The sequence below is a fragment of the Homo sapiens genome, chromosome 2 (assembly GCF_000001405.40).
Source record: "Homo sapiens chromosome 2, GRCh38.p14 Primary Assembly".
NCBI classification, from domain to species: Eukaryota; Metazoa; Chordata; class Mammalia; order Primates; family Hominidae; genus Homo; species Homo sapiens.
In genome coordinates, this window is record NC_000002.12 from 25202265 (window position 1) to 25217329 (window position 15065).

At 50.3% G+C, this 15065-nt stretch overlaps 1 long non-coding RNA gene across 1 annotated transcript, besides 3 other annotated features; it reads left to right on the forward strand.

The window, feature by feature from the left end:
* Positions 2047-2386: a silencer, noted in NCBI's record as "silent region_11246". NCBI's record gives its function as "represses an Ori minimal core promoter by ATAC-STARR-seq in GM12878 lymphoblastoid cells {active_cell/tissue: GM12878}" and the evidence as "EXISTENCE:reporter gene assay evidence [ECO:0000049][PMID:35858748]".
* Positions 2049-6938, forward strand: LINC01381 (long intergenic non-protein coding RNA 1381). The gene is made up of 2 exons (NR_132378.1): positions 2049-2285; positions 6710-6938. It is a non-coding gene; the product is annotated as a long intergenic non-protein coding RNA 1381 (long non-coding RNA).
* Positions 13697-14036: a silencer, noted in NCBI's record as "silent region_11247". NCBI's record gives its function as "represses an Ori minimal core promoter by ATAC-STARR-seq in GM12878 lymphoblastoid cells {active_cell/tissue: GM12878}" and the evidence as "EXISTENCE:reporter gene assay evidence [ECO:0000049][PMID:35858748]".
* Positions 14130-14647: an enhancer, noted in NCBI's record as "H3K4me1 hESC enhancer chr2:25439263-25439780 (GRCh37/hg19 assembly coordinates)". NCBI's record gives its function as "activates a minimal SCP1, AML or CMV promoter by ChIP-STARR-seq in naive H9 embryonic stem cells {active_cell/tissue: H9 hESC(naive)}" and the evidence as "EXISTENCE:reporter gene assay evidence [ECO:0000049][PMID:30033119]".

The following is a 15065-nucleotide window of genomic DNA, read 5'->3' on the forward strand; positions in this document are numbered from 1 at the left end:
ACCACCTGCAGGTCCCAAGCCCAATGAGCAGGAGCCACAAATCTGTCCCAGAATCACCAGGAAAATCGGTGTGGCTTCTCAGAGGAGGTAGCATCTGAGTTGGGCCTTGAAACATGGAGAGGAATGAGCCTCTGCCAGATAAAAGAGGAAAGAGGATGTGGCTTTGCCCGGGTATTCCAGACCCAGCAAGGGTGGGACTGAAGGCTTGATGTGGCTGCGTTAGAGGCGGCCAGACTAAATGCTCTATCTAGGGCGTTACAGCCGGAAGAGTGGCCGCATACCTCGCTGGCCCCCGTGTTCCTTCCTGAGCTGCTGCTCACACAGGTGTGTGGTGGTCAAGTACACGTGGTCTGCTTCTCCACCAGACCCGGAATTCCTCAAAGAAGGGCTATGGCCTTCAACTCTTCAACATATATGTTTGTATATGTATATATATGCAATTGTGGTGGTCACACAACTGTAAACATCAGTCAAAATGCACTGAGTTCAATACTTAAAATTGGGGAATGTCACTGTTTGTGAATTATGCCTCAGTAAAAAGCATGCTTTAGAGTCTCTGGGTGTCCAGGTTCACCAGGCACTTTCACATAGATTATCTCCAGCAGCCCAAACAACAGCCCCATTTCACAGATGGAGAAACTGAGGCCAGTGACTTGCCCACATCCCATAGTGGCAGACCTGGGCCCCTCCTTCAGAGCTTGTTGCTCACAGGATATGGGCCTGAGGGATTTTTTTTTTTTTTTTTTTTTTTTTGAGACAGAGTCTCGCTCTGTTGCCCAGGCTGGAGTGCAGTGGCACGATCTTGGTTCACTGCAACCTCCACCTCCCAGGTTCAAGCTATTCTTGTGCCTCAGCCTCTCCAAGTAGGTGGGATTACAGGTGTGTGCCACCATGCCTGGCTAATTTTTTGTATTAGCCAGGGTTTTGCCATGTTGGGCAGGCTGGTCTTGAACTCCTGGCCTCAAGTGAGGCCTCTCAAAGTGCTGGAAGTACAGGCGTGAGCCACTGTGCCCGGCCCGTGAGGGACTTTTGAGAGGACAGGAGCCAGCCATGGCTGGAATAATCCAATGTACAGAGTCTACCTGGTGCGGCTGTTGCTGTCTTGCCCTCGGGGAGTTCAGCCCCTGTAAGAGAGGTTCAGTGGTTCGGTTCTGCTCAGGGGGTTCCTCAGGCCAGTCTGGGAGACACTGGGTGACACTCACATTCCTGCACCCCCTAGTCCTGGCCCCAGTTCACACAGACCACTCGCTGTCATTGGGTAGGTATTAGGGTTCTGAGTCAGATGTCCTCCAAAGAAGGGGTTCTACCACAAATTGAGTTGCCAGATTTAGCAAATAAAAATACAGGCCAGGCCAGGAGTGGTGGCTCATGCCTGGAATCCCAGCACTTTGGGAGACCAAGGCAGGAGAATCACTTGAGCCCAGGAGTTCGAGACCAGCTTGGGCAAAATAGCGAGACGCCCCCCAGCTCTACAAAAAATACAAACATTAGCTGAGTGTAGTGGTGTACATCTATTCTGGAGGCTGAGGCAGGAAGATCTCTTGAGTCCAGGAGTTGGAGGCTGCAGTGAACTATGATTGTGCCACTGCACCCCAGCCTGGGCAACAAAGCAAGTCCTTGTCGCAAAAAACAAACAAACAAACAAACAAAAAACCAGGACAAAACGTTGGAGACATTCTGATACTAAATAGGACATCCTAAACAGGATAGATGTATACTAAAAATGTATCTGTTGCTTATCTGAAATTTGAATTTAACTGGACCTCCTACATTTAACCTGGCAATCCAAACTGAAAAAAAAAACCACCTAAAATTAAAATTAAATTAACAAAATTTAAATTTAATGAAATTAATAAAATTTAAAACAAAACTAAAATGAAAGAAAAAGTAAAATAAAAAAAATTTTTTAAATGAGTTAAATTAAATGAAACGAGAATAAAATCCCAAAAGAGGTGAACACTGCACAAGCGCGCACGCCTGCGCCGAGCGCCCGTGGCCCAGCAAGATGGCGAGGCCGCGCCTTCCCCACCCAGGCGTGGGGTCCTCGGGCCTCTGCGCGGCGCTCGCCCGGGACTGGGACGCAGAGCCGCGGACGGCTTTGGGGACGCCAGGGCTCCGGACTTCCCCGGCGGCGCCTCACGGGCGGCAATCGCCCGCGAGCCTTGGGGCGCGGCACCCAGGGCCTCCCCACCGGGCTCCGAGGGACGCAGCGGCCTCGCCACCGCATTAGGCCGAATCCGGTGCCTTCTAGAAATGGCCTCCTGCAGCTCCAGAGCGCCTGCAGGGTGAGCAGAGGCTGCTCTGTTTTCAAGAAAGCCGCGCGCCCTCATGGCCCCGCAGGGCCCCTCACGGCCTCTGCTGCTCTGGGGAGAAGGTAGCCGGCGCCACCGAGTCCCAGGAGGTCCCCGGACGCCCGCCCGGGCCCCGTGGGAGGGTGACGCCCGTGACAGCTCCTCTAGCTGCACTCTGCTGCCTCTGTCATTCTGCCACTCAAATCTCTGGCCTGACACTGTGCAGGCGGAAACAAGTGGGGGGCCCCTAGGTTTTCCCCCACAAATCTGAATGCTGAAAGGCGCGCCAGAGAACTTTTGCTCACTTGGGGAAAAGCCGATCTGTACCTTAGAAAGGGCAATAATAAGGATATAATATTAAATTAATAATACCTAATACAGTCATAAAGGTCCAGAACCTTATGCCCAGGCACCCCACTCCCTGGGAATGTATCCTAATGAAATAATTCAAAGGAATAACCGTGCCCTAGGCATAATCATGTTCATTATGGCATTATTAGTGTGAGCTAAAAATTGAAAACAACCTCGCCACCTAGCAAGGGAGAATGGTTAAGGGAACGGTTTTACACCCACTAGATGGAATGCCGTGTAGCCAGTAAGTGATTATTGCAAGGTCTGTAGAAACACGGGGAAATGTTTATAATGTAATCTTAATGAAAAATGGTTTAACATGAAATGGTAAATTCTCATGGATCTCAACTCCTTCAGAATTGCTTTTTCTTTTAATCGAAAATGTTATATAGATACTTGCAGATTCACATGCAGTTATAAGAAAATATAGGCCGGGCGCGGTGGCTCACGCCTGTAATCCCAACACTTTGAGAGGCCGAGGCGGGCAGATCATGAGGTCAAGAGATTGAGACCATCCTGGCCAACATGGTGAAACTCCGTCTTTACTAAAAATACAACAATTAGCCGGGCATGTGGCATGTGCCTGTAGTCCCAGCTACTCGAGAGGCTGAGGCAGGAGAATCGCTTGAACCCGGGAGGCAGAAGTTACAGTGAGCCAAGATCGGGCCGCGGCACTCCAGCCTGGTGACAGAGTGAGACTCCGTCTCAAGAAAAAAAAAAAAAAAAAGAAATGATACAGAGATCCCACCTCTACCCAGTTTTCCCCAATGGTAACATCTTGCAGAACTATAGTACAATATCACAACCAGCATATTGACAGGGATGTAACCTGCTGATCTAATGCAGATTTCCCAAATGTTACTTATACTTGTGTGTTTTGTTCTATACAGTGTTATCACAATTGTAAATTACAATTTTACTAGAGCTGGGTTTTTTTTTCTTTTTCTTTTTTTCTTTTGAGACAGAGTTTCACTCTTGTTGCCCAGGCTGGAGTGCAATGGTGCGCTCTCGGCTCACTGCAACCCCCACCTCCCGGGTTCAAGCAATTCTCCTGCCTCAGCCTCCTAAGTAGCTGGGATTATAGGCGTGTGCCACCACACCTGGCTAATTTTGTATTTTTAGTAGAGACAGGGTTTCACCATGTTGGCCAGGCTGGTCTCAAACTCCTGACCTCAGGTGATCTACCCACCTCGGCCTCCCAAAGTATTGGGATTACAGGCGTGAGCCACCACTCCCGGCCTAGAGCTGTTTTTTAAAGCACACGTGTGCATATGTAGAAATGTGTTATATAAATGGTGGTATTTGAAAGATTTTCTTTTCTTTTCTTTCTTTTTTTTTTTTTTTTGAGACACAGTCTCGCTCTGTCGCCCAGGCTGGAGTGCAGTGGCACAATCTCGGCTTACTGCAAGCTCCGCCTCCCGGGTTCACGCCATTCTCCTGCCTCAGCCTCCCAAGTAGCTGGGACTACAGGCACCCGCCACCACGCCCGGCTATTTTTTTTAATTTTTTTTAGTAGCAATAGGGTTGCACCGTGTTAGCCAGGATGGTCTCGATCTCCTGACCTCGTGATCCACCTGCCTCGGCCTCCTAAAGTGCTGGGATTACAGGCGTGAGCCACTGTGCCCAGCCGAGAGATTTTAGTTTAAATATTTATCTTTAATGCTGCTATGTCATCTTATCAATTAAAAGAGGGGAAGGCCAGGTGCGGTGGCTCAGGCCTATAATCCCAACACTCTGGGAGGCCGAGACAGGAATTTGAGACCAGCCTGACCAACATGGTGAAACCCCATCTCTACTAAAAATATACAAAAATTCTCTGGACATGGTGGCGCGTGCCTGTAATTCCAGCTACTCAGGAGGCGGAAGCAGGATAATCGCTTGAACCTGGGAGGCAGAGGTTGCAGTGAGCCAAGATCGCGCCATTGCACTCCAGCGTGGGCAACAGAGCGGGACTCCGTCTCAAAAAATAATAAATAAAAAGAGGGGATAAGTTGAGCTAGAAAAGGCAGGTGAAAGAAAGGAGAGAATGGTGGGCCAGGATGGCAGAAGGCAGAGATGCCGCCTAGCCTTGCCAGGACTAGCCATACCGTCTTGAGCAAATCAACGAACATTCTTTGAACTGCAGTTTCTCAACAGTCAAGCGGGGATAATTTCCCCTGCCGTATCTACCTAGCAAGGTTACTATGAGGTCCTTTTTGCCAAACTCAGGTAACATCCTCCAGGCCCTCCCTGAGCACAGTCAGCTGACAAACACACTGAAAAAGTGAACCCTCCGGGGGGTCCCTTGATCTTTTGTGGTCTCACCACTCACAGACCAGCTACTACCAAAAAGGGAAGTCTCTCCACCAGGCAGGGAGGAGACGTCACAAGGGGCTTCCCAAACATTTCCCGCTGCAAGAGGCCTGGTCTTTGGAAGTGGACCATCAGGCTCAGAAACAGGTTCCCTGGGGCAGCCAGAGGAAAATGCAATCAGACAGGAAAGGAGCAAATAACGCAGTGCCCCTGGGGTTCCCTTGGCTCTCCCAGAGAAAAACAGTCAGCCTGACTTGGGTTTCCCTCCAGTGGACCAGCTGAGGTCACTCCACAGACATCCTGGGCTCCTCCCAGGCCTCTTCTCCTTCCAGATACGTCCTGGGCTGCTTGTGTGAAAGGGTTCCAGTTCCCACACTGTCCTCTCCACCAGGGAGAAAAGCTGAAGCCATGATCCTGAAGGTGTTCAACTCAAGATGCTTTCTATTTTAACTCGAACTCTTGAGATGCCTTGTTTTCCAGAGCTCCAGGACCACCGTCCACCAGCTGTACTGCTGACCTTTGCTGTGGTTGGCTTTGCTGTCCTCTCAGCCTAAGACGCCCTTGGCCTTCTCTGTCCTGTGAACTCCCACCCCATCCTTTAAGGCAGGGAATGGTACACTTTTTCTGTAAAGGCCTAGATAGTAAATATATTAAGCTTTGTGTATAGTCTCTGTCACAACGATCCATAGAATGAGCATGGCTGTATTCCCACTACATTTTATTTACGGACATTTTAGTCTTTTTCTTCTTTTTGAGATGGGGGTCTCACTATGTTGCCCAGGCTGGTCTCAAACTCCTGGATTCAAGCGATCCTCCAGCCTTGGCCTCCTACATAGCTGGACTATACATACACACCACCATACCCAGTGTGGACACTTATAACCGGGCTCAACTGTAAATCCCTAAGATATAGATTGAAGTCCTGTAGCTGTGAATGTGACCTTATTTGGAAATAGGGTCTTTGCAGATGTAATCAGGTTAAGATGAGGTCACTGGGGTGGGCCGTAATCCAATAGAACTGGTGTCTATATAAGAGGGAGATGGGCCGAGCATAGTGGCTCACTTCTGTAGTCTCAGCTATTGGGAGTCTGATGGGGGAGGAGCCTGGGAGATGGAGGCTGCAGTGAGCCGTGATTGCACCACTGCACATCAGCCTGAGCAACAGAGCGGGAACTTGTCTCCAAAAAAATAAATAAATAGTCTGGGGCTCGGTGGCTCACGCCTGTAATCCCAGCACTTTGGGAGGCCGAGGCGGGTGGATCACGAGGTCAGGAGATCGAGACCATCCTGGCTAACATGGTGAAACCCCGTCTCCACTAAAAAAAAATACAAAAAATTAGCCGGGCTTGGTGGCAGGCGCCTGTAGTCCCAGCTACTCGGGAGGCTGAGGCAGGAGAATGGAGTGAACCCAGGAGGTGGAGCTTGCAGTGAGCCGAGATCGCGCCACTGCACTCCAGCCTGGGCGACAGAGCAAGACTCTGTCTCAAAATAAATAAATAAATAAATAAATAAATAAATAAATAAATAAATAAAAATAACAGAGGGAAATGTGGATACCCATAAAAAGGAGAACGCCATACGAGGACGCAGACACAGAGGGAAAGTGGCTGTGACCTTGATTTTGTACTTCTAAGCCTCCGGAACTGTGGGACAATAAGTTTCTGTGTTTTAAGCCACCTGGTTTCTGGTACTTTGTTATAGCAGCCCTAGGAAACTAACACCAACATTTCGATTTCAAAGTGTTCACACGTCTTCTTCTTCTTCTTCTTCTCCAGATATTATCAGCCAAGCTAGAACACAAGGCAGCCCACCAACCCAGCACAGATTTGAACAGGCAGCTGAGGAGAGAGCCTGGGATGCCAGCTCTGAAGTGTTCACCGCTAGAAGTGTTCCCTTGTCAAAGAAAGAAGCCATCCCTTGTCAGTAGATGGTCAGGAGTTCAAGACCAGCCTGGGCAACATGGTGAAACCCCGTCTTTACAAAAAAATACAAACATTAGCCAGGCGTGGTGGCCTGTGCCTGTGGTCCCAGCTGCTTGGGAGGCTGAGGTGGGAGGATCACTTGAGCCTGGGAGGTCGAGGCTGCAGTGCCACAGTGCACTTCTACCATCACTTGTCACGGCTCATTGAACCCATGTGACCCTGATCCAAGCCAGGCAACCACAGTCTCTGTCCCAGAAACTTGGTGTGAAGTCAGAGACAGAGTCAGTTGGTGCCAGTATAAGGACTGGAAGGTTATGAAGGCTGGGACATGAGACCTTTGGGGTCAGCCATGAGGGTGCCAGCTGGAAATCAGTGACCGAGGGCAAGGGAAGGAACCCGATCAACAGAAGGGCAGAGGCAGGGCATACACAGTCCCTGATGGAAGGATAGACAGAGAGAGCAGCCACCTGGGAAACCCTGCTTACGCTGATGCCCATCCTGCCTCCTACAACTGAATTCCATGAAATGCTGTCATGGTTATTCTAAGTCCCCCTTGACTTCAGCAGCTTTAGTGGGCTTCTGGGCCTTGCAGCCAAACCAGCTGCCAGGCATCCAGCCCAAAGTAGGTCCTCAAAGTATCCTGCCCATCTGCCTTTTAGGGCTGGGATTCCTTACTTTTGCCCAGGAAAGGCATCTTGGGGTGACATCTGGGAAGCAAGGATCACTCAGAAAAGAGGGAAGGAGCTGGGGCTGGGATTCCAACAATTTCACTGTGGCAGCATGTATGGTCCAGCCCTATGGCGCCTTGTTGGTTTTCTCTTCATGTGCGGAGACGAGAGATTGTAGAAAAATAAGACACAAGACTAAGAGAGAGTATGACAGACAGCTGGGCCCAGGGGGCCACTACCACCAATGTGCAGAGTCCGGTAGTGGCCCCGTATGTCTGGATGCACTGCTATTTATTGTATACAAGGCAAGGGGGCAGGATAAGGAGAGTGAGTCATGTCAAGTGATTGATAAGGTCAAGCAAGTCACGTGTCCACCGGACAGGGGGCCCCTTCCCTTTGTGGTAGCTGAAGCAGAGGGAGGACATCATGCATCAGCCTTTTTTCTATGTGCTTATCAGAGATCAAAGACTTTAATACTTTCACTATTTCTGCTACTGCTATCTTCTAAGGACTTAAGAGGGGAACCAGGTATATAGGCAGAACATGAAAGTGAACGAGTGTGACCACCGAAGCACAGCACCACAGGGAGACGTTTAAGCCTCCGGATGTCTGTGGGTAGACTGGCTGATGTCCAACCTCCCACAAGAGGCTGGTGGAGCAGGTGTTCTCTAACTCTTCCAAGGAAAGGGAAACCCCCTTTCATGGTCCGCTAAGTAACAGGTGCCTTCCCAGGAACACAAGCCCACAAGCGGCCTTTATCCGGGCGTGACAGAGGGCTCACGCTCTTTTTTTTTTTTTTTTTTTTTTGAGACGAAGTCACTCTGTCGTCCAGGCTGGAGTGCAGTGGTGCGATCTCGGCTCACTGCAAGCTCTGCCTCCCGGGTTCATGCCATTCTCCTGCCTCAGCCTCTCGAGTAGCTGGGACTACAGGCGCCCGCCACCATACCCAGCTAATTTTTTGTATTTTTAGTAGAGATGGGGTTTCCCCGTGTTAGCCAGGATGGTCTCGATCTCCTAACCTCGTGATCCGCCTGCCTTGGCCTCCCAAAGTGCTGGGATTACAGGCGTGAGCCACCATGTCCGGCCTGACAGAGGGCTCACACTCTTATCTTCTGGTCACTTCTCACAATGTTCCTTCAGCTCCTGACTGTACTGGCTGGTTATTCCTCGGTTATAATAGTAAAGCACAGATTAATACTAAAACTAATGATTGATAATATCCATATATAATCATCTCTATATCCTATTTCTAGTATAACTTTTCTTATTCTATTTTCTTTATTATACTGGAACAGTTTGTGCCTTCAGTCTCTTGCTTCGGCACCTGGGTGGCTTTCCGCCCACAGCAGCAAGAGTCATTGTTAGTAATAAGTCTTAATACTGTACCATAAGGTTGCAACTTGTTTATTTTTTTGAGACAGAGTCTCACTCTGTCTCCCAGGCTGGAGTGCGGTGGTGCAATCTTGGCTCGCTGCAGCCTCAACCTCCCAGGCTCAAGCGATCCTCCCACCTCAGCCTCCCAAGTAGCTTGGGACCACAGGCACGAGCCACAACACTCAGCTAATTTTTGTACTTTTTGTAGAGACAGGGTTTCACTATGTAGCCTAGGCTGATCTCAAACTCCTGAGCTCAACTGATCCATTTGCCTTGGCCTCCCAAAGTGCTGGGATTACAGGTGTGAGCCACCGCACCTGGCTACATCTCATTTATTGAGTACTCGTTTATATCCTCTAGTGAACACCTAATATACATATCTTAATCCTCACAACAGCCTAGGAAGGAGGCTACTAATTGTGTCAATTTTATTTGCTGAGTCTTTAAAAAGGTTGAGTTGATTATCACAGCTGGTAGAGGGCTAGGATTTAAACTCAATCTGTCTGCATTTTCTGCTTTGCCACACTGCACTCCTGCCATAATTAGGATCCATCTTCCTAGGGTTGATTCCTCCAGCTGCTGTGGCCTAAAAAATGTGAGTTAATTGGTTACAGAGTAGGGATACCATGTTTGTACTCTAATTTTTTCAAGAGCTGAGTGGTCTCAAAGTGGTCTGAGGACAGCCACCAGTAGCACTTTCTGTTGCCCTCTGTTGTTCCAAGTTCATCTCCCTAACTAGACAGCATGCTCTTTGATGGAGGGCCTCTGCTATCTTGACTTTTTTTTTTTTTAGACTGAGTCTCACTCTGTTGCCAGGCTGGAGTGCAGTGACGCGATCTTGGCTCACTGCAACCTCTGCCTCCTGGGTTCAAGCGATTCTCCTGCCTCAGCCTCCCAAGTAGCTGGGACTACAGGTGCGTGCCACGACACCCAGCTAATTTTTGTATTTTTAGTAGAGACGGGGTTTCACCATGTTGGCCAGGATGGTCTCGATCTCTTGACCTCGTGATCCACCCACCTCGGCCTCCCAAAATGCTGGGATTATAGGAGTGAGCCACCGTGCCCGGCCGATTTTTTTTACTTTATCCTGAAAACCATGTGTAACGGCCTCTGGTTGCTATTGTTTTAGTGCTGACCAGCCCCTTTCCATCCCATTTCCTTCTGGAAACAGGCTGCCCTTGGTCCTTCAGCCATAGCCCTCCAGCCTGGGCAATCAGACTACCCAATAATGAGATGGTGCCAGACTGAGCAGGACCAGTCAGAATTCTTCTCTGGAGTTGATAGAAGGCTCTGGGGAAAATTCCACCAAGGCTGTAAGCTAGGAGCATGTGAATTCAGGGATGTCAGGGGGCAAGTTTCCCCCACCTGGAGTCAGACTGTTTACAGAGGAGGCCAAGCAGAGCCAAACAAAAACAAGACAGACTTGAAGAGAGCACGAGAGAGCAAGAGCAAGAGAGGAGAGAGAGACAGTGCGAGAAGAGAGGAGAGAGAATCAAGTATTAGTTCCAGTTCCTAAGGTCTGTTCAATTCTGCGAACAATCCAGGCATCCTTCTGGACTCTCTCAGAGTCCATTTACTTTCTGTTACGCACTTGGTCCCGTAATATGTCACCATGACAAGCACAGTATGATTCGACTGCTGGGGTTCAAGGGGTGGAGGACGAGCTGATCAGAAAGTTTCTGTCATGGTGACAGCAGCCCAATTTCATGCTGGAAATGAAGGCAGCTCCTGCTGCTCCATCCAGCATTTGAGGGGCCCCTCTCTCTGCCCTTTGGATGTAGATAGCCCATTCTACGCAGCCAGACCTTTGCATATGGCCTTCAGCTATACAGAAATCCAGATGGCAGTTCTTGGGACCCTTTTCCTCTCATCAATCCCACCTCAAGCATCTTCCGCCTCGCAGCTCTTAACCCTCCCTATCTATTCCAAGCTCTGCCAAGCCCCATTTTATCAGCCAGACAGGATTCTGTGTTCCGCCTGACACATCTCCTGACCCTAACCCATGCCACTGCCCTCCCTCTCCTCCTCCAACTGGGCCTTCCTCCCACCTAGGCCATCAGCACGTTTCTGGACGTTCTCACTTCGAAATTGCTCCTTTATTGGCTTCTTTCCCAGGCTTGTCCACAGGCCTAGAGCGTCCTCTGCCTAGGATCCCCAGGGCCTGAGAGGCCCTTCCAGAGGGGCTGACTAGAGAGGCGTGGCTAAGTCCAGGGGGTGCTGCTTTTGTGGGGCAGGCTGCCTCCCCACCCCGAGTGACTCCAGTTCAAGAAGCACCGTGGCATGGCTCGGGGTCCAGCGGGCCCAGCCCAGCTCCATAGTGAGGAGTGCATAAGGCCTTCTGAAGGTGGAGATGCCAGCCAGCCACATCTACAGAAGCCCCAGCTCACAAAGAATGGCACATCTTGATCCATTTTTATTTACAAAACAAACTCTAAATGTGTTTGTGTGTGTATGCATATGTGTATATATACACACAGACTTACATATGTATGTTTATATACATCTACATGTATATATACATCTACATTGTATATACATTTACCTTCTATATAAATGTTACATTTATAGACATATACATTTATATGTATATACACATATATATTTACCCATGTATCTATAATATAATGTATGCTATATATAAGAAATCAAGAAGTAGGCCGGGCGCGGTGGCTCACGCCTGTAATCCCAGCACTTTGGGAGGCGAAGGCAGGCAGATCACCTCAGGTCAGGAGTTTGAGACCAGCCTGACCAACATGGTGAAACTCCCATCTCTACTAAAAATACAAAAAGTTAGCCGGGTGTGGTAGCGTGCGCCTGTAATCCCAGCTACTCGGGAGGCTGAGGCAGGAGAATTGCTTGAACCTGGGAGGTGGAGGTTGCAGTGAGCCAAGATCGTGCCACTACATTCCAGCCTGGGCGACAGAGGGAGACTCCAAACCCCCAAAAAAAACAAAATTGAGAAGTAAATATTCTAAAATGTCAGTAGTGGTGGGATTTTTAAAATAAACTTTTAAAATAAAAATTTTATTGACCTATACTTTGCATACAATAATCTGTACCTATATTAGTTGAGTTTCGATAACATACTCATGTAGCCACCAGGTGGTTCAGTATTTTATTTTCTTCTTTATGCCTTTCTTTAATTTCTAATTTTTTAAATTCAGTGGACAAGTGTGATGAGTAATTAGGTAAGAACATGTACAGAGGGAGACAAAGAGAAATAATTTCTAAGTCTCTGGCCTCGCATTCATAATCTAGGGGAGGCCAGTCCCTGAGAGAGGACAGATTGGCCACTGGAGTAGGCTCTCAGCTACCAGCGGCTTCTTCTTCTTTTTTTTTAGACAGAGCCTCACTCTGTTGCCCAGGCTGGAGTGCAGTGGTGCGATCTCGGCTCACTGCAACCTCTGCCTCCCAGGTTCAAGCGATTCTGCTGTCTCAGCCTCCTGAGTAAATCGGATTACAGTTGTGCGCCACCATGCTCTACTAATTTTTTGTATTTTTAGCAGAGACGGGGTTTCACCATGTTGGCCAGGCTGGTCTCGAACTCCTGACCTCAAGTGACCCACGTGCCTCAGCCTCCAAGTGTTTGGATTACACTGCGCCCGGCCGCACCAGGGCCTTCTATAAGCACTGCCTTATGTGCCTTCCCACAGCCACTCTTTGAGAAGTTGGTTAAGGCAGAATGTTCACCCACTGCAGGTGAATACACCACAACTCAGAGAGGTCAAGTGACTGGCCCATTAAGGGGGAATCACAGAGCCAGTTAAGTGCAGGTGAGCCCAGGGCTCTCTTCATTAGCCATCCTTAATGGGTTCAAGGAGCCCAGATGGACTTCATCCAGGTCCGCAGGTGTCACTAGCTCCTCAGAACTGCAGGAAATGAGGCCAACCCCCTGTCTGGACACAGCAGCCTCACAGCCTGGTCCGCAAGGACAGCAGCCCACCCTGCTTCCCACCCAGGCTGGCCACGGATTTGATTCAGGAGGGGAACGGTGGAATCTGGCTCAGAGCAGGAGGCCTGCTTCTTCTGGAGACCTATTAACGCCTTGAGCACTCAAAAAGGGTGACCCACCGCCTGCCCTCCTCCCCAGCACAGCCAAAAATGACCTTGATCTTTGCCAAGCCTACCCAAGAAGAGAAGGAAACGCCCCTCCTCGGCAGCAAGGCAGGGTGTACAATCCCTCCTATTCTCATATCCGCTTCTCCACCTCCAGCGAGGGATCCTACCAGAGCCCCTTGAGGCTGCAAACCCAGGGGAGGCTCCTCCAGGCCCCTCTAACTCAGTGAAGCTAGAGATGCAGTGCTGAGGACTTACATGGAGAAAAATGCACAAATAATAGGCCCTTGCAGCTTCAGTCTGCCCTGGGAGGAGGCTGTGGGCCAGGATGACCCTGTATACATCCCAACCCAGCACCACCACCAACACCAGCATATACAGCATTGATTATGCTCCTACTACTTATTGATTACGCTCCTACTACAGTAGTTCAACAACAACAAAAACTTCCTAGCGCCAAAGGTTACCGGAGGTTGCCACCCAAACCCTCTGGGACCCCTCATCACTAGACTCCTGCTCCTGGCGACCACCCGAGTCCCATCCCCACCAACACACGCGACTTCATCCAAAAGTTCTTCCTCTGAGAACGCCAAGAGACACCCAAGGGACTCCAGGTAAAGGTGAGCCCTTCCAGCAGTCGCCCTCTGGCTCGGCACGGAGGGGGGCGCTCAGCCTTTCTGGGGCAAATTTAGTAATATGGGACCCGAGCCCTCGACCCGAAATACGCCCGAGGCATTTATCCTAAAAAACGACAAGGTCCGGGCGCCCAGCAGAACGGCCCGGCTCGACCGCGCGCAGCTTGCAGGCAGGGGGGTGTGCAGGTCACCGCGCCACCCCGGCGAGCAGAGCCGCGGAGGGCGCCACGTCGGTGCGCTGGCCCCGCCCGAGCGGGGCGGGACCTTCCTGTACCCCCGGAAGCCCCCGCGGGCAGCTGGGGAGGAAACCGCGGCCACGCGCTCGGGGGGCCCGGCTCGGGAAGGGCAGTGCGCGCGCATGCGTTGGGGCGGGGCGCCTGGGACCTGCGGGCCCCAGGCCCAGCGCGCCGCCAGCCGGAGTGCCCGGCGCCCGTCGAAAGGCCCCTGCGCCGGTTCAGGACCCGCACCCAGCTACGCTGCGGAGCCCCAGCTCGCAGCACCCTCCCACCCACCGCTCCTGGCTGCTTTTCTCCTGAGTCTGCGGGGCGGGGTCGTTTTTGTTTTTTACAAAAATGTATGTAAAGGTATTTCGATGAGTGAAGGAACACGCTATAATGCTCACTCAATGCAGCATCGGTGATAATTGCGCCGGCGGGCGCGGTGGCTCGCGCCTGTAATCCCAGCACTTTTGGAGGACGAGGAGGGAGGATGGCTTGAGCCTGGGAGTTCGAGACCAGCCTGACCAACATGGAGACCTCCATCTCTTAAAATAAATTTTTATCTTTATTTATTTTTATTTTGTATTTTTTTTGAGACGGAGTTTCAATCTTGTTGCCCAGGCTGCGGTGCAATGGCGCGATCTCGGCTCACCGCAACCTCCGCCTCCCAGATTCAAGCGATTCTCCTGCCTCAGCCTCCTGAGTAGCTGGGATTACAGGCATGCGCCACAATGCCCAACTAATTTTGTATTTTTAGTAGAGACGGGGTTTCTCCATGTTGGTCAGGCTCATCTCGAACTCCCGACCTCAGGTCATCCGCCCGCCTCGGCCTCCCAAAGTGATGGGATTACAGGCATGAGCCACCGCGCCCGGCCTATTTTTTAAAAAATTTTTTAATTACCCGGGCGTGGTGACGCGCATCTGTGGTCCCAGCTACTAAGGAGGCTTAGGCGGGAGGATCGCCTGAGCCTGGGAGGTGGAGACTGCAATGAGCCGAGATCGCGCCACTGCACTCCAGCCTGGGCGACAGAGAAAGACCGTTTCTAAATAAGTAAATAAATAATAAATAGAAAAAAAAAAGATAATTGCACCTTCCAAGGAAAAGGTAATACTGGAACTGTCCAGGATAAGGAAATGGATTAAATAAATCATGGAATATTTCTGGGTGAAGTAGTATGCAGTCATTAAAAAATGGTGTTTTCGGCCGGGCATGGTGGCTCACGCCTGTAATCCTAGCACTTTGGGAGGCCAAGGCGAG